The 27,432-nt window shown below is 45.0% G+C and overlaps 1 long non-coding RNA gene across 1 annotated transcript, besides 1 other annotated feature; it reads left to right on the top strand.

Moving 5' to 3' along the window:
* Positions 2,379-2,880: an enhancer, noted in NCBI's record as "NANOG hESC enhancer chr12:119745461-119745962 (GRCh37/hg19 assembly coordinates)". NCBI's record gives its function as "activates a minimal SCP1, AML or CMV promoter by ChIP-STARR-seq in primed H9 embryonic stem cells {active_cell/tissue: H9 hESC(primed)}" and the evidence as "EXISTENCE:reporter gene assay evidence [ECO:0000049][PMID:30033119]".
* On the top strand, positions 7,156-26,711 carry LINC00934 (long intergenic non-protein coding RNA 934). The gene is made up of 4 exons (NR_024246.2): positions 7,156-7,201; positions 8,505-8,927; positions 24,800-25,764; positions 25,855-26,711. It is a non-coding gene; the product is annotated as a long intergenic non-protein coding RNA 934 (long non-coding RNA).
* The last annotated feature ends 721 nt before the right edge of the window (positions 26,712-27,432 follow it).

The raw sequence follows: 27,432 nt of genomic DNA, 5'->3' as shown, positions 1-27,432 counted from the left end.
GCCTTCAACTGATTGGATAAGGCCCACTCACATTATGGGAATAATCTACTTTACTCAAAGTCTATGGATTTAAGTGTTAACCTCATCTAAAAAGATACCTGAGAGCAACATCTAGACTAATGTTTGACCAAATATCTGAGCACCATGGTCTAGCCAAGTTGACATGAAATTAACCCTTGCAGGCTGGTTGGTTATGCAGTAGCAGGTAACCAAGATAGCTTCTCACAGCTGCTGTGTGTGTCGTGACTTTCCAAGTGGCTAGTAATATGCCTCATTTTCCAATTCTATTTGGAATTGAAATGAGGAGAAAGGGAGGTGGGAGATCCTCATCTCCTTTTCTCCCCATCCCCTGCTTTTTTAATACGGAGACCTTTTGGGTTTGGTGTTCTGCAGAACACCTCTTAAGAAGCTCGGGCCCAGGGTTGGAGTCACACACAACCAAGTCTAACTCGTGACGGTACCAACTCCTAGCTATGTGACCTGGGGCTATTTATGTAGACTCTCTGAGCCTCAATATCCGCATGTATATCGTGAAGTAATCATACTGGGCTCAGTGATGTTGCAAGGTACAACTTAACTGAGCCATGGAGAGGACTCAGTCCAGTACCCGGGCAAATGGTTTTTATTCTTATTTTATTTATTTATTTATTTTTATTATTTACCAGTAGACCTCAAATTTTACCCATCTGTGCTGCTGCTCTCTCTCTTTTTTTTGCGGGGGGGACAAGGTCTGGCTCTGTTGCCCAGGCTGGAGTGCAGTGGCTCACTGCAACCTCTGCCTCCTGGGCTCAAGCCATCCTCCCACCTCAGCCTCCCTAATAGCTGGGACTATAGGCGTTCACCACCACACCTGACTAATTTTCACATTTTTTGAAGAGATGGGGTTTCACCATGTTGCCCAAGCTGGTCTCAAACTCCTGAGCTCAAGCGATTCTCCTGCCTTCGCCTTCCATAATGCTGGGATTACAGGCGTGAGCCACGGGGCGCCTGGCCTGCTCTCTCTTTTAAGACCTTAATTGTGATGTTCAGCCTCCCATCCCACTTGATTTCCAGAAGATTCTCTCCATTCCCCTTTCCCTTTCTTCCTTTCCTTTTGCTTTTTTTGTTTTGTTCTGGTTTTCGTTTTTTTCTCCTTTTCACTTTCCTTTGTACGACCAGGTTTCCCTCGCTGGGGAGCACGGGCATGCTCCGCAGATCCATCTTGCCTGTCACTGTAGCCAGCTGCGCTCTCTGGACCGCTGCCTCACATTTCCCACGAGGCGCGGCTCTCTCCGCGCTTCAGCTCCCCTCCTTCTGCCTCCAGCTGCTGCTGCTCCACCAGGTGCACCTTCCCCTCCCCTCTGACCCAGAACAGACCCTCTCCTCATTGTCTACAGCACCAGCAAAGAACAGGCCGCAGCTTTTATGCTGAGTCTACTGAAAGTTCCAGGATGATAGAAGGGAAGGAGGCATGAAGTGTTGCTCCCAACTACTCCTGCAGGCAATGTGCTCAGAGCCCAGGGCCCTCACTGGACACACACGTTCACAGAGCATGGGCCTGGGTGGTCAGGGCAACGAATTTCTTGGAACCCATGCCCACCGCGGCCCAGTCGAAGGTCTGCCTCTCCACAGCCTCATTGTCTGACCTCATTCCAGAATGCTGGCAGTGGAAATTTCCACTCCCTTCGGGAAAAATCTGGCCCTATTGTCAGGGGTTATGCTGCCCTGGGGCCCTTTGTATTAGTCAGGGTTTTTCAGAGAAACAGAAGATATGCAGTCTCAATCTCTCTCTCTCTCTATATATATATATGTGTGTGTGTGTGTGTTTGTATTTCCATATGTAGATTTATAATAAGGAATTGGCTTACGTGATTATGAAGCCGAGAAGTCCAGACTCAGAAAGACTGATGGTATAATCCCATAGTTCCAGTCTGAGTCCAAAGGCCTGAGTACCAGGAGAACTGATGGTGTAAGTTCCAGTCTACATCCCAGTTTGAAGGCAGAAGAAAACTGATGTCCCAGCTTAGAGACAATCAGGGAGGGGGAGAGAGAGAGAGAGAGAGAGAGAGAGAGAGAGAGAGAGAGAGAGAGAATTCTTTCTTTCTCAGCCTTTTCTTTTTTAAAAAACTTTATTTTTATTTATTTATTTATTTGAGATGGGGTCTCACTTTGTTGCCCAGGTGGAGTGCAGTGACACAATCATGGCTCACTGCAGCCTCTACATCCCCGGCTCAAGTGATCCTCCTGCCTCAGCTTACCACATAGCTGGGACTACAGGTGCACATCACCATGCTTGGCTGATTTTAAAATTTTTTTATAGAGACAAGTTCTCTTTATGATGCCCACATTGATGTCAAATTTCTGAGGTCAAGTTATCCTCCCACCTCGGCCTTCCAAAGTTTTGGGATTACAGGTGTGAGCCACCACACTGGGCCTCAGCCTTTTATTCTATTCAGGCCTTCAGTGGATTAGAGAAAGCCCACCCACACTGGGGAGGGCTTTCTTACTCAGTCTGCTGATTCAAATGTTAAGCTCATTCAGAAACACTCTCACAGACACACCCAGCAATAATGTTCAACCAAATATCTGGGCACCCTGTGGCCCAGTTAAACTGACACAGGAAATTAACCATCACAGCCTCATCTGTAATCTGAGCCCGGCTTCCCATCACTGGCACATGGCTCACTCCTTCTCTTTTTTTTTTTAGAGTCACCCCCACTTTCTTTTCCTCCAAGAGTCATTTTCTGACTCCCTCGCCCTTGCTAAAAAATGTCATCTCCAAAGTGCTCATTCCCATGTAACTGCCACCACCTGACCCTGCTGTTTTCTTTTTTGTTTGTTTGAGATGGAGAGTCTCACTCTGTCACCCAGGCTGGAGTGCAGTGGTGCCATCTCAGCTCACTGCAACCTCCGCCTCCTGGGTTCAAGCGATTCTCCTGCCTCAGCCTCCTGAGTAGCTGGGAATACAGGACCCTGCCACCACGCCTGGCTAATTTTTTTTTGTATTTTTAGTAGAGAAGGGGTTTCACCGTGTTGGCCAGGCTGGTCTCAAACTCCTCACCTCAAGTGATCCACCCCCTTGGGCCTCCCAAAGTGCTGGGATTATAGGCATGAGCCACCATGCCTGGCCCCCAACCCTGCTATTTTCTTCATGACACTTAGTACAATCTGGAATGTTCTTGCTTATTTTTCCTGTTTATCATCTGTGTTTCCAACTAAAATATAAGTTCTGTGAGGACAGTGGTCTTGTCTATTTTGTTCTTTACTGTGTCTTCTCATGCCTCAGTGATGGCACAAAGTGGGTTTCAATAAACATTTTTTTTTTGTCAGCTTGGGCAACATGGCAAAACCCTGTCTCTAAAAAAAATACAAAAATTAGTTGGGCATGGTGGCACACTCCTGTAGTCCCAGCTACTCAGGAGGCTGAGGCAGGAGTATCACCTGAGCCTGGGAGTTTGAGGCTGCAGTGAGCAATGATCACACCACTGTGCTCCAGACTGGGTAACAGAGCAAGACCCTGTCTCAGATAAATAAATAAATAAATAAATACATTTTTTTATGAATGAATGAATGAACATGGATTCTTATCGTTCAATTTCGTAGCTTCATGTGAACTTGCCATTTAACTTCCTCCTCTCCCTAATCCAACAGACTTCAGCAAAGTGCACAGACATGTCTTGGATGAATGGATTCTTTTTCTGGGTGGCAGTTACGGGAAAGGGCTGAATGTCATATGCAAATCAATGGTGATTAACAGAGAAAACCCATATGGAAACAGGAGCCTGTAACCAGGAGGGACCACGGTGGCATAACCCCCCAGGGATTTACAGGAATCCCGGTAGAGCTTTGGAATCTCCCAGGGCATGGAGTGAGGCTTGAGCCAGGCTCTCAAGGAACCTGAACACTTCACCTCACTTCTTCCTCAAAGGATGCCGTATTACTTTGGGCTGCTTGGGTAACAAAATACCACGACTGGATAGCGTACGCAACAGAAACTTACTGTCTCACAATTCTGGAGGCTTGAGGTCCAAGATCAAGGTGTTGGTAGGGTTGGTTCCTTCTGAGAGCTGTCAGAGAATAACCTGTTTCAGGCTCGTCTACTTGGCTTGTAGAAGGCCATCGTCATGTTTACATGACATTTTCGCCGTATGCATATCTGTGTTCAAATACCCCCTTCTTAAACAGACACCAGTCATATTGGATTAGGACCTATTCTAATGACCTTATTTTAACTTGATTATCTTTTTTTTTTTTTTTTTTTATTGAAACAGAGTCTCATTCTGCTGCCCAGGCTGGAGTGCAGTGGCACAATCTTGGATCACTGCAACCTATACCTCCCAGGTTCAAGTGATCCTCCTGCCTCAGCCTCCCAAATACCTGGGATTACAGGCATGTGCCACCACGCCCAGCTAATTTTTGTGTTTTGAGTAGAGATGGAGTTTTGCCATGTTGGCCAGGCTGGTCTCGAACTCCTGAGTTCAAGAAGTCTGCCTGCCTCAGCCTCCCAAAGTGCTGAGATAATAGGTGTGAGCCACTGCACCAGGACTTAACTTGATTCTCTCTTTAAAGACCTAAGGGTCACTGTATTTGTCAGAGTTCTTCAGAGAGACAGAACCAATAGGATGGATGGATGGATAGATAGACAGATAGATGAGAGGGAATTTATTAGGGGAATTGGCTCACACAATTATGGAGACTGAGAGGTCTCACGACAAGCTGTCTGCAAGCTGGAGACCCTGGGATTCTGGTAGCATGGCTCAGTCCAAGTCTGAAGGCCTCAGAACCAGGGAAGCCAATTATGTGACTCACAGTCTGAGGTCAAAGGCTTGAGAACCTGAGATCCGAGGGGAGAGGTGCTGGTTTAAGTCCTGGAGTCCAAAGGCTGGGGAACTTAGAGTTGCCCAAAGACAGGAGAAAAGGAGTGGATCTAAGTCCAGCAGACAGATAGACATATTTGCCTTTCTCTGGTTTTGTTCTCTCTGGGCCCCTAGCAGATTGGATGGTGCCTGCCCACACTGAGGATGGCTTTTCCCCATCTAGTTCACACTGACTCACATGCTAATTTCCTCTGGAAATATCTCCACAGACATACCCCAAAATAATGCTTCACCAGGTTTCTAGTTATTCCTTAATGCAGCCAAGTTGACCTCTGTGGTGTTAATATGTACTGGTTTTCGTCCATGGTTCCTGGCTCATAACTCCCACAGCCCTTGTTACAGGCTGTTTTAAGAATGGTGTGTGTCGGCCTCGTGGGTAGCCTCGTGGGTGGGCCTCTGACTTTCTCCTGCCCTCTTTTCACTCTAATGTTCCCCCACCTTTCTGACTGTGGATCTTAAGACCCTCCCATTAGAGGGTCCCACCCTATATCCTAGGGGAAGGAATGGTGATATCATGAAGCTTCCAGAAAACCCAAGAGGGACAGGGTTTGGGGAGCTTCCAGATAGTTGAACATGTGAAAAGAAAATATCTTGGGCCCCCCCAAAACCACTAAGCTAAAGGGAAAAGTCAAGCTGGGAACTGCTTACAGCAAACCTGCCTCTCGTTCTATTCAAAGTCACCCTTCTGCTCACTGAAATAAATATATATCTGATGGCCTCCTTTGGAGAGGCTCATCAGAAACCTAAAAGAATGCAACCATTTGTCTCTTATCTACCTATGATCTGAAAGCCCCCTTCCCACTTCGAGTTGTTCCACCTTTCCAGAAGGAAGCAATGTTCATCTTACAACATATGTTGATTGATGTTTCATGTCTCCCTAAAATGTATAAACCAAACTGTGCTCTGACCACCTTGGACACATGTTGTCAGGACCTCCTGAGGCTGTGTCACAGGCGCGAGTCCTCAACCTTGGCAAAATAAACTTTCTAAATTAACTGACACCTGTCTGAAAGTTTCGGGGTTCACAAACACATGGAGGCTCCCAGAGGGTGGTGCCCAGAGGGCACGAAAGCTCTGCACCACTACCCCTACCTCGCCCTATACAGCTCTTCATCTGAATCCTTTGCAATATCCTTTATAATAAATTGGTAAATGCAAGTAGGTGTTTCCCTGAGTTTTGTGAGCCACGCCAGCAGACTAATCAAATCCAAAGTGGGGGTTGAAGCCCGTCTGCCAGAAGTTCCAAACTTGCAACTGGTGTGTGTGTGTAGAAAGGCAGTCTTGGGGACTGAGCCCTCAACCTTTGGGATATGATACTATCTCCAGGTAGATGGTGTCAGAACTGAATTAGAGGACACCCAGCTGGTGTCCGCTGCTTGGTATGTGGGGAAACCGCCCCCCACATTTGGTCACAGAAGCCTTCTGTGTTGATGATGGTTGTAGTGTGAGAGTAGAGGAAAAACGCAGTTTGAGGAGAGTTTTCCCCTACACATCACCTAAAATTAACCATCACAGTCACATTTTGAAGTACTGTGGGTTACGATGTCAAGCTATACATTTAGGGGGAGAAAACAATTTAACCCCTAACAGATGCTAAAATGGCCACTTCCAAGCTGCTCCAGGAAGAGTGTGGGGTGTCCTGTAACCCCTAACCCAGAGGAATACTATCATGGATAGATAAAAGCAAAGTATTTCGTTGCCTTTATCTGCTCAGCATCCGTCTCCCTTTTCCTGGGTACACACCCTGACTTTTCTTTGAGGACTCACCCCATGATGCCCTTAGCCCATATGGTTCAGATAGAATTGGTCCCACCGCAGATACAAGATAGGGTATGCTTGCTGGGCACGGTGGCTCACGCCTGTAATCCCAGCACTTTGGGAGGCCTAGGGGGCAGATCACTTGAGGTCAGGAGATCCAGACCAATCTGGCCAACTTGGTGAGACTCTGTCTTTACTAAAAATACAAAAACATTAGCCGGGCTGATGGTGCAGGCACATTTAATCGCAGCTACTCGGGAGACTGAGATGGGAGGATCACTTGAACCCTGGAGGTGGAGGTTGCAGTGAGCCATGATCCTGCCACTGCACTCCTGCCTGGGCAACAGAGCGGGACTCCATCTCAAAAAAAAAAAAAAAAAAAAAAAAAAAAAAAAAATTGGGCATATGACCCAGGTCTAGCCAATCAGCATATTTCATCCTCCAGCCACAGTGATTGGTTCCCTCTGGGCACGTGACCAAAGCTGAGCCAATGAGACTTAATTCTAGGAGCTGATAGGTTGGAAGCTTAGGAGGGCTGGGTACCATTTTTCCCATGAGAAAGAAGCCAATGACCTAGAGGCAAACAGGTGAGAGATGTAGAGAGAGACTGAGCCCACTGGCATGGTGATAGCCCCTGAATTGAGCTGTGCCTGAAGGTAACTTTAATGGTGGACTTTTCAGTTACAATACAGTCCCTTTTTGGTTTAATGCCATTTCGATGTGGGGTTAAGTGATTTGTAACCCAAAGTGTTCTAATCAATGTAATTATGCCTCCTCCTCCCTCCTGTTTGTGTACCTCAGTCATTCCAGGAAGCCGCCAGTAGGAAAACTTCACCAAGGAAAAGAGAATTTCTTTCAGCCTTCCTGCATTGTCTCAAAAGAGCCCGGTTTAAAGCCCCAGTGGAGATGCCTGTAATTGGCCAATGAGAGCCAGCGGCCGGGTTGGGGATGCGTGCCAATAACTAATTCAAGCAGGCAAAACTCTCGGGGTTTTATAATTATGTGAAAAGACCTAAGATTTCTGTAAGCCAGGGGTCAGCAAATTAAAATTCTCCCAGGAGCTAAGGGCTTCTGAATGCCTGTTTCTGATAATCTTGTTTATGTCCTGGGGTAAATAAATCTGTCTTTTGTTCTGTGTTATTCAACTCTCAGCACTGTTTGTAATTAAAGGGGTGGAGGGTGGAGAAATGAGTGAGTTCTTTAATGGGCTCTGTTCTGGGTCACATGGAGTAAGAAAGAAAAGGCCCTCGTGAGCAGGGGTTGGGGTGGCCTGCTCTGCCCTGGGAAATGGTGATAAAACACTGGGCAGCTGTTGATCAAGTGCCAAAGGGGAGGAAATCCATCATCATTAGCGTAATCAATGAGCACAGGCTGAGCCCCCACTGCCTTGTGCTAGGGTTCCCCTGAGATATGGAAAGAAGCAGATGGAATGTCTGGTTTCAGAAGTTACCTCATGTCAAGAATCTCCAGGCAGAAGGGTCACTCACCCTCTCCTTTCCGTCACCTGCGACTCTGGGGGTTGAGGAGAGGACAAAATAGAGCAAACAGAATCCTTCCAGATGGTCAGATGATCCTGGCTTATAACAGGGTAGGATAGAATTAGGTTAATGAACACAGAACACAAATAATAACAATAACAGATACCACAGCTAACACATGTTGAGCCAGGCACTGTGTTAAGTGCAATATATACATGATTTCTTCCTTTCTTTCTTTCCTTCTTTCTTTCTTTCTTTCTTTCTTTCTTTCTTTCTTTCTTTCTTTCTTTCTTTCTTTCTTTCTTTCATCTTTCTTTCCTTCTTCTTTCTTTCTTTCTTTCTTTCTTTCTTTCTTTCTTTCTTTCTTTCTTTCTTTCTTTCTTCTTTTTTTCTTTTTTCTTTTTTTTGACAGGGTCTCACTCTGTTGCCTAGGCTGGAGTACAGTGGCAAGATCTCGGCTCCCTGCAACCTTCGCCTCCCGGGTTCAAGCTATTCTCCTGCCTCAGCCTTCTGAGTAGCTGGGACTACAGGCACATGTTACCATGCCCAGCTAATTTTTGTATTTTTAGTAGAGACAGGTTTTCACCATGTTGGCCAGGCTGGTCTCGAACTCATGGCCTCAAATGATCCACCCACCTTGGCCTCCCAAAGTGCTGGGGTTATGGGTGTGAGCCACCGCGCCTGGCCTATACATGATTTCTTTTAATACTCTCAAGAATTGCTTGTTACAGGCACAGTAGCCTGAATTTTATGGATGAAGAAATGGAGACCCGTTTCTTTATGGATGAAGAAATTGAGAGAAGTTAAGCAACTTTCCAGAGGCTCCCCCCAGCGGGTAAGTGATGAAGCCGGCCCTCATATCCAAGTTCCTGATTACAAAACTGCACTTCTGCCAACTGCATCGTGCCGCCTGCGTTGTGCCTCCTGCAGCTTTCCTCTGCCCTTTGTAGCTTTTCTACTCTTCCACCTAGTCTTGTCTCGCTGAGTCTCAGGGTTTTGTTTTTTTTTTTTTAATCTGTAAAATGGGGATAACAACACTTTTTTTGTAGCAGGGTGCTTGGATGCTAACAACAGAAATAGACTTTGGTGAATGTAAGCAAAAATAGAATGTAGAAATGAGCCATCAAGGCATGAAAAGAGGTGGAGGAAACTTAATGGAATGCACATTGCTAAGAGGAAGAAGCCAACTGAAAAGGCCACACATGGTATGATTTCAGTGATGTGACATTTTGCAAAAGGCAAAATGATGGGGACAGTAAAAGGATTAGGGGTTGCCAGGTGTTAGGGCAGAGGAAGGGATGAGTAGGTGGGATTTTCAGGGCAGCAAAACGACTCTGCATGAGACTGTACTGGTGGGCACATATTATTACGGACTTTGGGTGATGATGTGTCAATGTAGGTTCGTCATTTGTAACAAATGGACCACTCTGTGTGGGATGTTGACAGTGGGGGAGGATGTTGGGGGAAGGGGATATATGGGAAATCTGTATCTTCCTCTCAATTTTGTTGTGAATTTAAAAGTCTATTTTTTAGAAATGAAATATATTGAAAGGATCATGGGGAGCTCACGGATTTCTAGCCTCTTTTGCTCTTGTGGAGGGAGACAGGTCCAGCTCCTACCAAGAACTGCCCAGTGGGGGATTTTCCTCCTACAGAGGAAGGGTGTTCAGATGCTGAGTACCCAAAAATATCCCCCCAACCCCATCCCAGTAAGGTTTTGTGGTGATGGATGTTTTCAGCACCAGACATGACACACAGTAAAAGCCCAGTAAATGGTAATTATTCTTATTCTTATTAATAATAATATCCAGGAAGAGGCTGCTCAGCCTGTCTCCATGCCTGTGGTATAAATTCTAGGCCACTCTTCCTGTGGGATGATTTAGACTTCCTTTATGAACAGAGACACAAACTAAGCCAACATACCCTCAGGACAGAAGGATACTGGCATGTCTGCAGATTGGTCACTAAAGCGTGTCCTAAATTGCAAAGAAATCAAAACAGATTGCATCTAATTTCTCACTGTTCCAAGCAAGAAATTACCTTTTTAAGAGGAACACCATGACTTTCAAGCTGTTTGTAAACACAGTTTGTTTTTGTTTTTTTTTTTGGAGTGTTCCGTCTTGGGCTTGGGTTGGCTTTCTTAAGTGGATTGTTTGTTTCTATGGGGTTAACTGGGTTTTCAGAGAGAAGAGGCACAAGAATCCACTTCTCTCACTTCTTCTTCAAGCTGTTAGGAGCCTGGTGGGTCCCATTTCTCTTACAGGTTGTTGAGTGGGTTATGATAGGCAAAACATAGGCTTTGGAGCCACACAGACCTGGGTTCGAATCCTGACTCTACTGTTTGCTGCTGTACAGTAGTTCCCCCTTATTTGCGGTTTTACTTTTCCCAGTTTCAGTTACCTGTGGTCTGCTGCTGTCTGAACAGAGATGAGTACGGTACAGTGAGATATTTAGAAGAGAGATAGATCACATTCACATAACTTATTGCAGTACATTGTTATAATTGTTCTATTTTATTATTAGTTACTGTACCTAATTTATAAATTAAACTTTATCATAGGTTTGCATTATAGGAAAAAATATATATGTATGTAGGGTTCAGTATTATCCATGGTTTCAGGCATCTACTGGGGATTCAGAATAAGGAGAGACTCCTGTAAAGCCTTGGGTGATTCACTTGGCCTCTGTGAGCTCTGTTTTCTCATCTTAAAAATGGGATAATCATTATTTACTTCCTAGGGACTGCAGTGTCTTTCAGTAGCTGTTGCTTTTTCCTTGGGCTAATGCTAGCCTGCATGACACCATGTTATGAATTAGAACAATTCTAGCAGATGTACCTGGGGCCAGTGTTTATGGCTTGCTCTGTAAGCAGGGCACAGGCAGGATTTTTATCCCTTCGTTATCCACACAGCTGGTGGTGCCCTTGTGCAGCATGCAACCTGCACAACTGTTCATAGTGGCCCTGATTTTTAACTGACTGTTAAGCTTTCTAAACCTTTCTTTTATTGGTAGACACAGACCCCTTGGCCAAAAAAGATGGGAATATAGCTGAATTCTGACCAAATTATGTGACAATAAACAGTGATTGGTCCAAAGAATGGCCATATGACCCAAACAGTCCAATCAGAGTTTTCACCTGGGACTGATAAACACATGTTGGGAAAAGTTAGCACTCCATGCACTGGGAAAACAGCAACCATGTTCCTCTTCATATGGGAGAGGCCTGTTTGTAGTATGAGTGTCTTAATCTGTTTTGTGTTGCTATAACAATACCACAGACCAGGTAATTTATAAAGAAAAGAAATGTATTTCTTACAGTTCTGGAGGCTGAGAAGTCCAAAGTAGTGGGGCCTATATCTGGCAAGGGCCTTTGTGCTGTGTCATCCCATGAAAGAAGGGTAATTAAGTGCAAGAGCAAGAGGGACTGGAACTTGATATAATAAAGCCACTCGGCCGGGCACGGTGGCTCACGCCTGTAATCACAGCACTTTGGGAGGCCGAGGCGGGCAGATCACGAAGTCAAGAGATCGAGACCATCCTGGCCAACATGGTGAAACCCTGTCTGTACTAAAAATACAAAAATTAGCTGGGCGTGGTGGTGCTCGCCTGTAGTCCCACTACTTGGGAGACTGAGGCAGGAGAATCACTTGAACCTGGGAGGTGGAGTTTGCAGTGACCTGAGATTGCGCCATTGCACTCCAGCCTGGCGATAGAGTGAGACTCTGTCACAAGAAAGAAAAACAAAAACAAACAAACCAAAAAAACAAAGCCACTCTTGAAATAACAACCTTAATCCATTCATGAGGTCAGAGCCCTCATGACCCAATTGCCTCTTATTAGGCCCCACCTCCCAACATTGTTGCATTTGAGATCAAGTTTCTAACACATGAACTTTGGGGGACACCTTCAAACCATAGCAAAGATGAAATGAGAGATCAACACGCAAATACAAACAGAGATAAGATAAAGAGAGGTCGTTTCTGGAACCCGTCACTGTTGTCAGTCCTAAAGCTCTTCCTGTGATTTTAAGCTCTAACTCAGTTCTCCTCTCAGTTACATGAGCCCAAACACACCCTTTTTGCTTCAGCTAGTGTGAGTTGGCCGTCTGATACTTGTAACCAAAACTGTCCTGATAACTGAGGAGTTGCTATAAGATGTGTTAGGTGTGGAAAATCCTTTGCTCAAAGTGGCACTCCAATACAAAAAAAGTAACTGGGCCTGGTGGCAGGTGCCTGTAATCCAGGCTACTTGGGAGGCTGAGGCAGGAGAATCACTTGAACCCAGGAGGCAGAGGTTGCAGTGAGCAGAGATCATACCACTGCACTCCAGCCTGGAATGACACAGCAAGACTCCATCTCAAAAAAAAAAAAAAATTAAAAAAGAAATCAATGTGTCACTCCACAAATAATAGCTGTATTATTGCCACACTGTACCACGTGGGAGTCCTACCAGTTTGCTTCTTTGGAGTGAAAGGAGGACGTGTTTTATTAGATTTGGGATATCAGATATGCCAATAGCCCTTGATTTCATGCCATGGCAGACATCAGTAATCCATTAGCAGAAAACATTAATTCATAAAGGCTATGGTGTATGGTGTTTTTTTTGTTTTTTGTTTTTTTTGAGACAGTCTTGCTCTGTGACCCAGGCTGGAGTGCAGTGGGGCAATCTCGGCTCACTGCAACCTTTGCCTCCCGATTCAAGCAATTCTCCTGCCTCAGCCTCCCGAGTAGCTGGGATTACAGGCACCCGCCACCACGCCTGGCTGATTTTTGTATTTTTAGTAAAGACAGGATTTCACCATGTTGGCCAGGCTGGTCTTGAACTCCTGACCTTAAGTGATCCACCCGCCTTGGCCTCCCAAAGTGCTGGGATTACAGGCGAGCCACCGTGCCTGGCAGGTGTTTTTAAATTCTTGCCATTTGATTGTTTTTGCTCTACCTGGGAATGGTCTCAGGGTCCTTCCTGCTAAGTGCTACAGGCAGTTGCTACTAATCATTTGGAAATGAAATAGGAGATGAAACCAGACATTTTGATTTTTGGCAATTTTTGACAAAATCCATTGCAGTCTATTTTTTAAGCCTCTAACTCATGGAAGCATGCCTACAGAGGTAAGACAATGTTGCTTTAAATTAATGCCAGAAGATAAGGTACTCAGAATAGCACCACAGCAGCCTAAATGGCTAATGAAGTTTGGCAGAAGGTTTTTATGAGCATATGTAGAGCATCTGGGTCAAACAGCAAGCAAATTCCCAAAGACACAAGAAAAGATTAGCTGGACTCCACCATCGTATCTGGAATGAAGCTCACTTCCTTGTAATCTTTTGGGGCTGGGGAGAGGGTCTTTGTGAGTATTCCATCCAGAGGAACACTTTTTGGTGGAATAGAAAAAGAAGAAAATAAATTTGAACTAAAAAGAAAGTGTAAAAAATTTCAAAAGTAACACAAAAATGAAGAATGAACACAAAGCTTTAAAAAAGCCTTCCTAATTAATTAGGTTTTCCCATTTTCATTTCCCAGAGGTAATCTATAGTGGGATGTGTGTCTTTCAAGATCTCGGTGCCACAAATAGTACATGCTCAACATAGAAAAATCAGAAAATTCAGATAAGCAAAAGGAAAGATAAAGTTCCACAGCTCAGAGATAACCAGGGAGAACATGCTGATGTATTTCCTTTCTGCTGTGTGTGTGTCTGTATGTGTGCATGTGTGTGTGTGTATGTTTTCAGAAGAAATATTTATTCAATGCCTGTCGTCATGTGACCAGCCTTCTGGGAAAAGAAGGTGAGCAAAATCCAACCTTGGCTGCCAGGTCTCACTGTCTGGTTGTTGCAAACAGTTGTGGCCTTTTCTTCACCATTCCAGGGTCTGCTTGGCTTTGTTTTTCCAATGGAACAGTGAGGATGGTGTAGGAGACTCCTAAGAGGGATGGATCATCTCCAGTGTGCACATTTTCTGTGCACGAAGTCCTGTGTAAAGTGCTCACAAGAACTCTAGGATATAGTTCCTATTGTACAGATGAGGAGACTGAGGCTCCGGGAGGTGAAGTCACTTGCCCAAGGTCACCTAGCTCATAAGGGGCAGGGCTACCATGCTGGTTTTCCTGCCATAGCCCTCTTAGGAGTAGGCCAACCCGTGTCCATAGAGAAGTGGGGTGAGCTCACAGTTGCAGGACGGTGGGAGGGATGGCATAGCACAGGGGTTCAGAAAAAGCCTTCAGAGTTTGATAAATCTGGATTTGAATCTTGACTCTGCCACTTCCAAGTCCCGAACCTCGTTTAGCTCATCTGTGAAATGGGGGATCATTAACCTATTTACCTCATAGAGTGAGGGTTAAATGGGCTCATGTGTGTGAAATGCCTATAAGAGCTCAGGACACGGTAAATTGCTCAGTAAGTGTTACTGGCTGTTGTCACCATGACTGTTTCTGGAAAACCATGATTTAGAGAGACTTATATCTTCCTGGTGGGATTAGGTGACACCTGCTCCCCCCAGGGACTGTGGCTCTGTTTCTGTTTCTGATTGACTTAGGCACGGGTTGCTGGCACCATTATTCCTGGAACTTTGGAAAAAAAGCAAAAGTTGCTCCATAACCCCACAGGCTTCTCTTGTAGCTGTGACAACGGAACTGGGGAGGAGGTGGGACTACAGGGAAAATTTCCCTGAGGAACATTCTAGGTGGGTCTGACCCTCTTGCTTCCTAGCATGCTAAGCACCTTCTGAATTCCAAAACTCTCCTGCGTTCTGGCTTTGTGCTCTGTTCACCCCTTTACCCTTTGTCTGAAATTCTTTTCCTCTCTTCTCTCTGCTTACCTGATTGGAACCCTTCTAGTGCCTGGCACAGAGCCTAACACTCAGTCGGTGATGGTTGAAGATTGAATTAATGATGGAAACATTAAAGGCCTGGCAGATAGAGTGAGCTGGGGAATGTCGAGGAAGGCACTTCTCTGGGTCTCAGTTACCATCTCTGTATAAAAAGCATAATAATAATACCAACCTCTTGGGTTATTGGGAGGATTAAATATATACTCTATGTAAGGCACCTAGCACAGTGCTCAGTAAGTGATATCTGCAATGGCTGTTCCCGCTCACCTCTCCTTTTTCCTTTTTTGGGGACCTTCCACACCAGAAATCCAGTTTTCCATGTGTGGTCACTTGATGGAGTCAGACAAGAGAAAGATACTCTTTTCGGTTCTGATTTCCTGCCCCGGTCCTGGTGCCTAGGGCATGATATTTAGACACCTCCACTTGCAGCTTCTTCACCTTCGCAGTCCTGTCTTGCTTCCTTTCAGCCTTGTCTCTAACCATGGCCAGTCACAAACCCTGCGACGGGTCCCTCCATTCCCCCTAAAACACTCTCCTCTCTCCTATGTCTTCTGTAGCTTATAGAGTTCCAAAACGGTTAAACAGTAAGAACACAGCAGGACCCCGTAGCTACGCTGGGTGGGGCATTTGATCAGAATTCATGAAAAGTGTCCTAGAGTTGGTTCCTTTTGCTCAGCAGAGCAAATCTGATCAAGCTCAGCCTGGACATAATGTTGGCCAGCAGCCGGGAAGGACAGACCCACTGATTTCCTCCCCTGGTACAGTGGGGATGGATGAAAGTGGCTATGTAAGTAAGCTGAGTTCTCTGGCCACCCATCCATCTTCAGAGCATTCCTATGTGTGAGGATAGTGTTTTTAGATCACTTTACAGATCCATTCTACAGGTTAGGCAACTGAATCTCAGATAAATTACTGAGTAGAAAACTGATTTGGAGGAAACTGGCATGAAACAAAAGGGGCGGCTATTCTCTTTGACGTTTTGGAAATATGTGAAAATGCTACACTTGCCCCATTGGGAACTGGGATGCCAAATTTGATTTCAGGTATAAAGCTCACATGTCACGCAAGATTACCTTTCTCAGGACCCACTGGGGGCAGAACTAGAGCATGAGGAGACAGCAGAAAGGACAAGAAAGGAATCTTCTTATCCGATAATGAAAAAGTATTTTCAGCTCTGACTATGTTTACAGACTGTGTAACTAAGGATTTGTGCCAAAATTCGGAGGTGTCTTCAGTATATAAATGATCTGGCAATGTTTGCAGTAAATTCTGTAAGAGAACCAGAGCCGTCTGAACATAACTGAGGAATTGAGAGGATGTCAAAGGAAAATAATGATGATGATGATGATGGTGATAATTACTATTTTTCCGGGGGCCAGTTATCATAATCAGCATATTTAATTTAAATGTAGTTCTGCTTCTCCAAAACTTGAAGGTAGATATTTTTATTTCCATGTTTCAGATGAGGAAATTGAACTTCAGAGAGGTGAAGCGACCTGCCTGAGGTCACACAGCTAGTAAGCAACAGAGCTGCAATTCAAACCCTAATTTGTATGAGCTTAAAGCCCACTCACCTTCTGTTGTATTACCCAGGCCTTGGGTTAGGTCCTAGGGATTCAAAGATGAGTCGAGACACAGTCCCTGCTCTCAAGGAGCTCTGTGTTTTACAGAAAAAGGAGCTAGCTCAAGAGTTTCCTGTTGAAATGTGAATCAGGTATAAATAAAACAGCTCATCTCCATTACCCTTCGGTAAAGAAAGAAACCAGTGAAAGCATGGGTTGTGTGTGGATATCCCTTCGTCTTAGTTCTGATTTTATTTTTTTGGCATCTGCATGAGGCGTTCCAGGGCACTTTCCCTAAACCCCAAAGAAACAGAAGTTCTACCTGTGTCTGTACTGTGCCTGGGACCTGAGCTCTGGGTGAGCAATCCTCTTTGCATTATGATGCTGGTGCAGGCAGCAGACAGTCTTGACTCCCACCCCAACTTCCCTCCCCAACCCACCCTGATGTTTAGCTTCAGAAAGACAAATTAGCAAATCTCCCTCTCGAATTGCTGTCCAACGGGGACAAGAAAGATGCTCTCCCAGGAGCCAGCATCATGATCACAACATACGCAGTTTTCCTGTGGCTGATGACCCAGCAGTGGTGGTGTGGAGGGGCCCCTCATGCTCCACTCTGGTATGTAGACCTTGCTCTCAGCCACTCATTTCCTTCTCCTGAACTGTCCAGCTCAGGGCTGATAATCAAGTGCAACCCCCTTGGCATTTAGCTCTGAAAATCTGGTTTAACCTTCACCTGCACAACAGCTCATAATAACAAGAGCAACCACTTATTGAGTGTCTTTTGGAGGCTTTCCATATGCAATGCTTATTGTACACTTTCTCTAAATAGCCTGTATATTGAAAGAGCAGGGCTGTGGGATACAATCATAAAGCTACTTTTGTTGCCCCCTCCCCTATTGTTGTGTAATCTCAGGACCGGTCCTCTCTGCCTCTGAATGAATGTCAGCCAGGCCCCTTTGCTACAAATTTGTTATGTGTAGGTAATAAAAATGTCATTGGCATCTGTGGCCCCCCAAAACACTTTAGTTCAGTGATTAATGTGTCCAGTCCAGTGGAGGGTCACGCCTCTGACTTCATTTTCTCAGACTTGCTGCAGGCAGAAGCTGCAGTGGGAAATGGGAACCATCAGCTTCGTGAGTTTTCTCTAAAAGAGTGGTAATTTTGCCCTCCAATCTCTTCCTCAGCCAGGCTGCCCTTGACCCTTTAAGGTTGGTGAGGGCACAGTGGGAAGAGACAAGGGGTAGAAAAAGGTCTCACTTAACTGGGACTGCTGCTGTGAGCTGGGTCCTACAGGATGCCACTCTCTCATGGGGAGTTCGTGTGAACTTTGAAACTCTGTCTCCATTGGCTTTGAAACACAAGATCTTTGTAGGGATTAGAAAAAAGGAATCAGACACAGCCTCATGTATGCTCAGCTTGGCAAATGGATGCTGTCTTGTGCAAGTTAGAAAAAGCCTTTCCCAGTCGGGCGCTGTGGCTCACGCCTGTAATCCCAGCACTTTGGGAGGCCGAGGCAGGCAGATCACGAGGTCAGGAGATCGAGACCATCCTGGCTAACACGGTGAAACTCCGTCTCTACTAAAAATACAAAAAATTAGCTGGGCGTGGTGGCGGGCGCCTGCAGTCCCAGCTACTTGGGAGGCTGAGGCAGGAGAATGGCGTGAACCCGGGAGGCGGAGCTTGCAGTGAGCCGAGATCGCGCCATTGCTCTCCAGCCTGGGCGACAGAGCGAGACTGCGTCTCAAAAAAAAAAAAAAAAAAGAAAGAAAAAAGAAAAAGCCTTTCTCTTTCTCTAGGTTTCTGCAAGCCCGCGTGGGTATGTACATCCTAAGAGCAGAACATGGCTGAATGTCTGCAACACTCTTGAGTGAGAGCTTTTGTTCAGTGCACTGAGGACACGTTCATCTTTAGGGACCCTATATGCACATCTCTTACCTGTAGTTCTCCGGCACTGGAGCTGCACAAGCTTCACATTCCAACTGTCCAGTCATGCATGACATCCCCTCTGGCCTTGGTCCTTCATGGCCCACCTTCACAGAGGCTCATCATACCTGAGAAGATCAGGCAAAACATCTTTCAAATATCCCTAGGTCAGCTTGTTTGTGCATGCTCTCTCTCTATCCCCTGCCCCCCACAGAAAACACTGGCCTTTGGTGGAAGTGCAGTTGCTTGCCAAATTGAAGCCCTCTTCAGCTATCCCTGGGCCCCTTAGATTTCTCAGGTATGATTCAGACTCCAGTCCACAGGGTTCCCCAATCATTAGGGGACAGAAATCAAGCTCTCCAAGGCCTGTCTGCAAAGCCCCTTTCATTAGGCTTCAGGTGGGAGGAGTGCACCCCTTCTCTTCCCTGAGAGATGACAGTTGGCCTTTCTGCACTGATATGGTGAATGCTGACGGGGCACTGACCACTTCTACTGCTGGTATTAGAATGGGACACATTGTCTCAGTTTGGACTGAGTCCTGTAAGACAGCCATCCCCAGACTTTTTGGCACCGGGGGCTGGTTTCGTGGAAGACAATTTTTCCACAGACGGGGTCAGGGGATGATTTCAGGATGATTCAAGCACATTACTTTTATCGTGCACTTTATTGCTATTATTACATTTTAATATATAATGAAATTATTATATGACTCACCATAATGCAGAGTCCGTGGGAGCCCTGAGTTTGTTTTCCTACAACTAGACAGTCTGATCTGGGGGTGATGGGAGATGGTGACAGATCATCCGGCACTAGATTCTCATAAGGAGCATGCAACCTAGATCCCTCGCATGTGCAGTTCACAATAGGGTTTGTGCTTCTATGAGAATCTAATGCTGCGGCTGATCTGACAGGAGGTGGAGCTCAGGCAGTAATGAGAGGGATGCAGAGCAGCTGTAAATACAGATGAAGCTTTGCTCGCTCTCCCCCTGCCCACTTCCTGCTGTGTGGCCCTGTTCCTAACAGGCCATGGACCATTACCAGACTGTGGCCTAGGGCTTGGGGACCCCGCTGTAAGAAAGCCAAGAACAAAACAGTAAATGCCAACTCACCCAGTGCTCCAAAGTGAGGTCCAATACTCTCAACATAACCAGCTAACGAGGTGGCCAGAACTTGTTTCATGTCCCTTTAGCCTTTCCTCTAATTTGAGGGCATAAGAGGGTTCCTGTTGAAGTGTGGAGAGGGGAAGAAATTGGAAGGGAGATTTTTTAGATAGAATTGATGGAGTTCTGTGACATGTTCTCTCCCAAAACTGGCAGTAGAAGTGGTCAGTGCCCCATCAGAATTTATCATAGCAACCCTGAAAGGCCAAATGCCATCTCTCAGTATTGTCATCTCTGTGCTTGGGGGCTTTCTCTGAAGATGAGGAAGACCAGTCTGCCCATTCCCAAGGAGACCAGAAGTGCCAGGGAATTAACATCCTCTGGGAGAAGCCATCAGCCAATGACTGATGGGAGTTGGTATATAAAGCTCCGAGATCCCTCACTGCTGAGTTGGAAGCACATTGAGGCATGTATTCTGCATGGTTTCCCAGAGTTCCTAGGAAGTTATTTTTGATGCCCACCAAAATGGTAGTTGGCTTGATTTTACAAATCTTTTACAGGTTTTTTTCCTTTTCCCTGACTCTTTTCCCCCATGATATGGTTTGGCTGTCTGTCCCCACCCAGATCTCATCTTGAAGTGTACTCTCGTAACTCCCATGTGTTGTGGGAGGGACCCGGTGGGAGAGCATTGAATCACGGGGACAATTTCCCCCATACTGTTCTCATGTTTGGGAATAAATCTCATGAGATCTGATGGTTTTATAAGGGGTTTCCGCTTTTGGTTCTGCCTCATTTTCTCTTTTTGCCACCATGTAAGAAGTGCCTTTTGCCTTCCATGATTGTGAGGCCTCCCCAGCCACGTGGAACTATGAGTCCATTAAACCTATTTTTCTTCCTAGTCTCAGGTATGTCTTTATCAGCAGTGTGAAAACAGACTAATACATCCCACTCTCCTCCGAAATAAAGTACTCATACTCAAATCCTGATCTCAGGATCCCTGATATGGTCTGGCTGTGTCCCCACCCAAATCTCATCTTGAATTGTAGTTCCCATAATCCCCACGTGTCATGGGAGGGAACTGGTGGGAAGTAATTGCGTCATGGGGTGGTTACCCTCATACTGTTCTCATGACAGTGAGTGAGTTGTCACAAGATCTGATGGTTTTATAAGGGGCTTCCCCCTTTGCACGACACTCACCTCTCTTACCTGCCACCATGTAAGAGATGCCTGTTTCACCTTCTGCCATGATTGTAAGTTCCCTGAGGCCTTTCCAGCCATGAGGGACTGTGAGTCAATTAAATCTCTTTCCTTTATAAATTACCCAGTCTTGGGTATTTCTTCATAGCAGTGTGAGAATGGATGAATACAATCCCTTTCTGGTGGAACTCAAACCAAGACAAAGCCCTGTTATTCAGATAATACCTTTATTCCTAGCGCATTTCTAATCCTTTCCTAACTTTGCAAGATGGGTTTCTTTTTTTCTCCAATGAGGAAGCAGAAGATCCATATGACTCTGAAAATATGCTCTTTTCCTCACACCATTCTGCTCCCTAGCAGTTGTAAGCCATTCCCTCCAGCCAGCAGAATACAATTCTTTAATTGGCCACCCATAGCCTCTGTTTAATCTAGCACTTTCTTGATGTTCAGAAGCTTGGTTCTGAATCATTTACTCAATGCTATTCCTCACTGTCTGCTGCATCCTGCCTTTAATACCCCCAACATCTAGTTTCTGTTAGCCCTCTGGATGCAACGCTGGATGCTGTCTCCCTGGCCCTTGACTTTGACTCACCATCCAGCTCCATTGCCCTAGACTTGTCTTGAGAAATACTCTTCCTAGTTGGACTGAGTTCCAGGACTCCTGGTCTTGATACTATCCACTATGGATGATGTTCTGGTTGGTTCATATCATGGCTGTCCCTCTATGTGCTAACAATTCCTATTCTCAGCTGGAGCAAAATGAACTTTTATCCATTACTTAAAATTTGAAAGCACGTCCAGGAAGTTGGGCATACTAGCTGAGCAAGCCGAGTGCCTATCAGAAGAACTTGGACACCACTGCTGGGAATTGGCTAAGTGGGAAGATTTTAATTGTTCCCAGGCTTGTCGCATCCACGTAATTTTCTCTAACGAGCACACACAAAGCAACAAGGAGAGGTGCGGGATTGGATGGCAATTCAATGCCTCATAATGCCAGATGAATTGCAGCGCCTGCTCCACAGTATTGCATTTGCCGATGTCTGGGAGACAGTCTCCATGGATGCTAATTCAATTATGCTGAAACATAGAAGGAAATTGTCAGCCAAATTGCTGCCACGCTGCCGAGCTGTACCTCGCTCTTGCCCCCCGTGCTGTTTCCTGCTGATTCAGCAGCACATGGCAGCTCGTCTAGTCTGGGAATGACCAGGGGCTGTGTTCCACTTGGTATGGTTCTTCAGGCAGACTTCCCATCTTAGACCTCCAAATAGAGAAATGATTCCTTATTAAACTTTTCCTTCCCTTCTTTCACTCTGGCAACACCTCTTGTTACTTATTCATCATCAACAATAAAAATATATGATAAGCTTAAGAGAACTATATTGTTCAACTAGTAAATCTTGATCAAGCATCAGTTAAAGACTGAGAACACAGCAGGGAACAAAAATGGGCATAAATCCATTACTTTAGGAGTTTATGGTCCTGTCTCACTTTCCAAGGATGGAAGATTATTGGGTCAGTTTGAAGGCTTTCTTTGCTTTCTAGAATCTGGATAATGGATAAATGTGAAAACTCAAAAGAGATAGAAAGGCTCAGTAGATTCATAGGAGAAATTGCTGCATGGGAAGAGAAGACTAGGGAACACAAGCCAGGGGGCATGGCTAGGTTTGAAGATTTTAGGGAGTTCATAAAAGAGAAGAGAAGAATGTAGTGGAGCGTTTTGTGGGGAACACAATGAGAAGAAGGAAGTGCATTTTAAGCTTTGCTCTGTTGTGTGAATGGAATGCCTCTGTGCTCTGTGATATTTTTTAAGAGACTTCAGTAATTGCAGTTTTGTGGTATTTTTTTTCTTTTTTTTCTTTTTTTTATTTTTTTAGATGGAGTCTCACTCTGTTGTCCAGGCTGGAGTGCAGTGGCGTGATGTCTGCTCACTGCATCCTCCACCTCCCGAGTTCAAGCGATTCTCCTACCTCAGCCTCCTGAGTAGCTGGGATTACAGGCGCGCACCACCATGGCCAGCTAATTTTTATATTTTTAGTAGAGATGGGGTTTCACCATGTTGGTCAGGCTGGTCTTGAACTCCTGGTCTCGTGATCCACCCACCTCAGCCTCCCAAAGTGCTGGGATTACAGGCATGAGCCACCGTGCCCTGCTGTAATTGCAGTTTTAAACTTGCTTAAAAAAAAAAATCAGTCAAAAAATATTTATTGAATGCCTACTATGTTCCAGGTACAAGATAGATGCAATTTTTTCCTTATCTGGCATGTCGTTCCAAGTGAAAGAGGACTGAATACATGATAGGTACACATATGAGAAGGATGGAACTTCATCCAGGAAGGCAGAGAAGCCTTCGCTGAGCAAATGAGATTTCTGTTGAACTCTGAAGGATTAGGAGTTTGTCAGGCAAAGAGACGCGGGTGGGGAGTATGGACAGTTTCAGACGCAGATAATGGCTTTTGAGAGGGATTCATGGAATGAAAGAATCCAGTTTATTGGCCAAAGCTGTCCTATCAAAAGTAACAATGCTGCGAACTTCTCCACCAGACTCTTCTCAATATCTAGTTTCTAGTTTCAGTGAAATTGAATATTCTCAGGTGAGTTCCTGTAATGTGGGCCTGAATCTGTCTTGCTCCCAACCTCTGCAGCTGATTCTACCCCTGCCACTATTGCCAAGAAAACAAGTTGAGATAAAGCTGATGGTAGATGGGGCAGCGGGCGGAAATTGTTTTTCAGACTGACTGGCTGGCTGCCATAATGGACGTTTCTTTAAATAAGGTTCTGTGCTATGGTGGCTTCAAGGCTTTATATTTATTAGGCACCTATTGTGTACCCAGTTCTGTGTCAAGTCCCAGGAAACAAAAATGAATAGAAGATGTGGTTTGGTTCTTGCTAACTTCTGTCACAACTGTAAAAAAGGCTTTCACAGTGTCTTAATGTCCTAAGACTATGACAGTGTTACTTGGTAGGTGACTTCCAGAGCCCCTTGGAGAGGTCAGACAGACCTGAGTTGGAATACAGGTTCTACCTAATAATAGCTGTATGACTTTAGGCGAGTTAATTCGCCTATGTTTAAGTTTTTCATCTGTTAAAATGAGGATTATAACACCCAACCAAAGGACTGTAGTGAGGCTTAGAGATAGCCTGTGTGTCACTCACCTGGTGAATAAGCGGGACTCTGTTGAGTGTGAGAAGGCACCCTCACTGTTTTCTCCACTGTCCATTGGCAAGGCTTTGATGAGTTGAAGCTTCCTCTGCCCGTGGGTAAAATTTTCAGCATCCCCCATCACTTTGCTGGTGATTCCTGGATAATAAAATGTCCTGAAGTCATTTTTCTCACAGAATAGTTCTGTGTCAGTAATTAAAATGCCTGCTCTTAAGTAATGGTTAAAACTCCAAGTTTCATTTAAAGTTAAAGCTTCTTTCAGACAAACCAACTGTTTTTTTTTAAAAGACATTTCTGAAATAATTGGAGAAATTTGAACAGTAACTGAATAGTAGATGAAATTAAGGTATTCTTAATTGAGTAATGGTACATAAGATATGTGGATATTTACACTGAATTACTAAAGATGAAGTAAGGTGGTGTCTGAGATTTGCTTTTCAATAACTAGTGGTTTGGGGGTAAAGGGTTGGGGTATTAGTGAAACAAGAATGATCATGTTTATTTTATTATTTTTTTGTTATCCTATCTCCTACTTTTATAAGTGCTTGAAAACTTATACAATAAAAGTTTGAAAAAGATTTTAAAGCATCTTTCCTAAACAACCTTATATAATTGGCATGTTGTATAGCACATAAGTCTAGTGGGTATTGTTTATATAATATACATTGTCAATCTATGTATTTATTATAACAGTTCTTTGGCCGATGGCAGTGGTCTGTTGCTTTAATAAAATCAGCATATTTATTATATTGGTAGATGAACTTCTGTGATAACCCCCTAATTATCTTCTCCTCCTGGTATTCACATCCTGTGTAATCACACCCCCTTGGGGCCGGGCCTAGTGACTTTGTTCGGATGAATAGAATACAGTAAAAATGATGGAATGTCACTTCCAATATTAGATTATAAAAGACTGTCTTTTGTCTGGCACTACCTCTCTCCAGCTTTTCTCTCTTGCTTATTCTGAAGAAACTAGCTGCCTTGTTGTGAGTTACTCTGTGGAGAGACCCACATATTAAGGAACTGAGAGCATGACCACTGGCCAACAGCCCTGGAGTGATTGAATGTTTCCAAAAACCACACTCATGAGCTTGGAAGAGGATCATTCCCCGTTCAAACCTTCAGCTGAGACTGCAGCCCTGCCAATACCTTGATTGCAACCTGGTGAGAGATCCTGAGCCTGTGGACTCCGCTCAGCTGTGCCTGGATTCCTGACCCACAGAAACTGTCAGATAATAGCTGTTTTAAACTACCAAGTTTTGGGGAAATTTGTTATGCAGTAATAGACAACAAATAGATTATATAATGACAAACTTCAGATAAATGGAGGTACAGTTCTTGGAGGGGGCACTTTTTTTTCTAGTTCAAACAAAGAAGTAGTATCAGTGTGGGTTAGCAATAGCCCTGGTCACCCCTCTCTCAGCTCAGATGTTGGGGAAGGGGTTTGTGGTTGGCTTCCCTAGGTCCTCACCTTTTCTCTGATTGCTAGCCAAAGGCCCAAGGGAGCAGAGGGAGGAGAGGTGAGGGCAGATAAGGGCTCTCTTGACCAGTAGTGTCACAGTTTGGCATTGGTGCTCTCTGCCTGGCAGGTATTTAAACTTCCTTCAGGTTTGGCAAGTGATCAAAGCTGAGTCAATTCTTTGAGGTGTATTGTGGATTCTTTGAGGTCCCTGTTAGTGGCGTCCACGCTGCACAGTCCCCCAATTGTTCACCTGAGAACTGTGTTCAGGTGGGGATTCTTCAGTTCCCTTCTTGTGGTGCCTCTTTCCCAGATCCCATGCCAGGTGGTAGCTGTGAGTACCTCTTTCTACTCCTTTCAGGTGGGATGCTTCTAAGACACCTCCATTCCAGTTTCTGCACATCTGCTTGACTCATGGGAAGCTCATGCATCCTTGGCACCTGGATCAGGGTAAGTCCTGCTTCTAGTGCTATCCTCAATCCTCATCCTGAGATCTTGATAGACTCCAGCCATGGTCTGACTAATCTATACATTTTTCAGGTCTCAATCAGATGCCAGTCTCCCCAGACTTCAGGGAATTCACAGCAAACTAGAGATATTTCCTGTAAGTTCCTCTCACCAGGCAAGGCTGTGGTCAGGAGTCATTGCCTCTCTCCTCTTCCAAGGGGACTGAGACTAACTTCATACTGGACTACTTTCTCCAGAAAAATCCTCTCCCCAGTTTCCAACTTCAGCCTTTTCAGAGATGGCCGTTGGACCAAGAGTCAGAAAACTATTTCCATTTAGACCCTTTGCAAGGTTGGAAATGTCAGGTATTTGAACATTTCATTTTGTTTTTGGCCCATGGAGCCTCAACTGAAACCAATACCCAAATATTCCATTTTAGCATCCTGTTATATGCATACAGTTGCTGTTCAGTCCATGGTGCTTTGTAACTTTTACGTTGTTGTGGGAGATTTACTGCACTGATGGACCTCATCAATGGTATCCACACTCTTTGCCATGGCTTGTTAGCCCCTCTCATCAAGGGTTGAAGTCTATTTCCCAATCCTTGGATTTGGGCTAGTCTTGTGATTGCTTTGACCAACAGAATGTGGCAGAAGGAACATTATACCTTTTCTGAGCCTGGGAACAAGAGACCCTGAATGATTTTGGCCTGTCTCTTGGAGTTCTCCTGCTGTCCTGTGAATAAACCTGTGGGCGGAATGACAGACTATGTGAATAAGAGCAGAATCAGCTCAGTTGTCCCAGATGTGTGAGAAAGCCCCACCAAGATTAGCAGAGCCACCTAGCCTCACCACAGAAATATATGCAAACCCCACCAACCTCAGCTCAGGTGATCAGAACTGCCCAGCTGACCCACTGACTTGTGAGTGAAAATAATCGATGGTTACCGTACGCGCTGAGGCTTTGTGGTTGTTTGTTATGCAGCATTATGGTAACCAATACATTGTACCGGGTAGCTAATGAGGGAGTGTTTTTTGAGCAGAGGACCCTCTCAAATATCAGGGGACAAAGCTGACTGCTGGCTTGGCCTTGTCATCCATGCACATCCCTTCCAGAGGAAGACTGTTTTTCTTTTCCTTAGGCACCCTCAGCTTCAGCCTGGATAGATTCCTCCTGGGCTTGTCAAAACTTTCCAGAATGCAGTACAGCAAACAGGGATTCCTCTGGCAGCTTGTTAGGATAATTGAAATGTGGGTGGAAGCTCATTAAGCTCCCCTTTGTCAACATTCTTCCTTCCAGGCCTGGAGAAGCTGTGAGTTCTGTCACATCCCATTAGCACTGTGTCTGGGTGGTTTCCACACCTTTCCAAGCAAATCAAACACACGGGGTCCACATTCAGGGGAGAAATAAATTTATTCCCATGGAGAGGGGTGTGCTTACGGAAATGTAAAGACATGTGCACATCAGGCTGGGGTGGATGATGAGAAAGAGAATGAGAAGATCTAAGAATGCTTTGGAAGTATAATATATACAGTAGCTTGCTGCTCTATGTATTAAAAATCTAGCATTTGAAGTCTGTTCTGAACATCCTCAAGTTCCCTTCTATTCCTATCTCAGCGGGCCCCCTACAAAACGCTATCTTTATGGAAAAGATTTTGGAGTCAAAAAGAC

This window comes from Homo sapiens, chromosome 12, assembly GCF_000001405.40.
Source record: "Homo sapiens chromosome 12, GRCh38.p14 Primary Assembly".
NCBI classification, from domain to species: Eukaryota; Metazoa; Chordata; class Mammalia; order Primates; family Hominidae; genus Homo; species Homo sapiens.
This window is presented reverse-complemented; position numbering and strand designations above follow the sequence as displayed.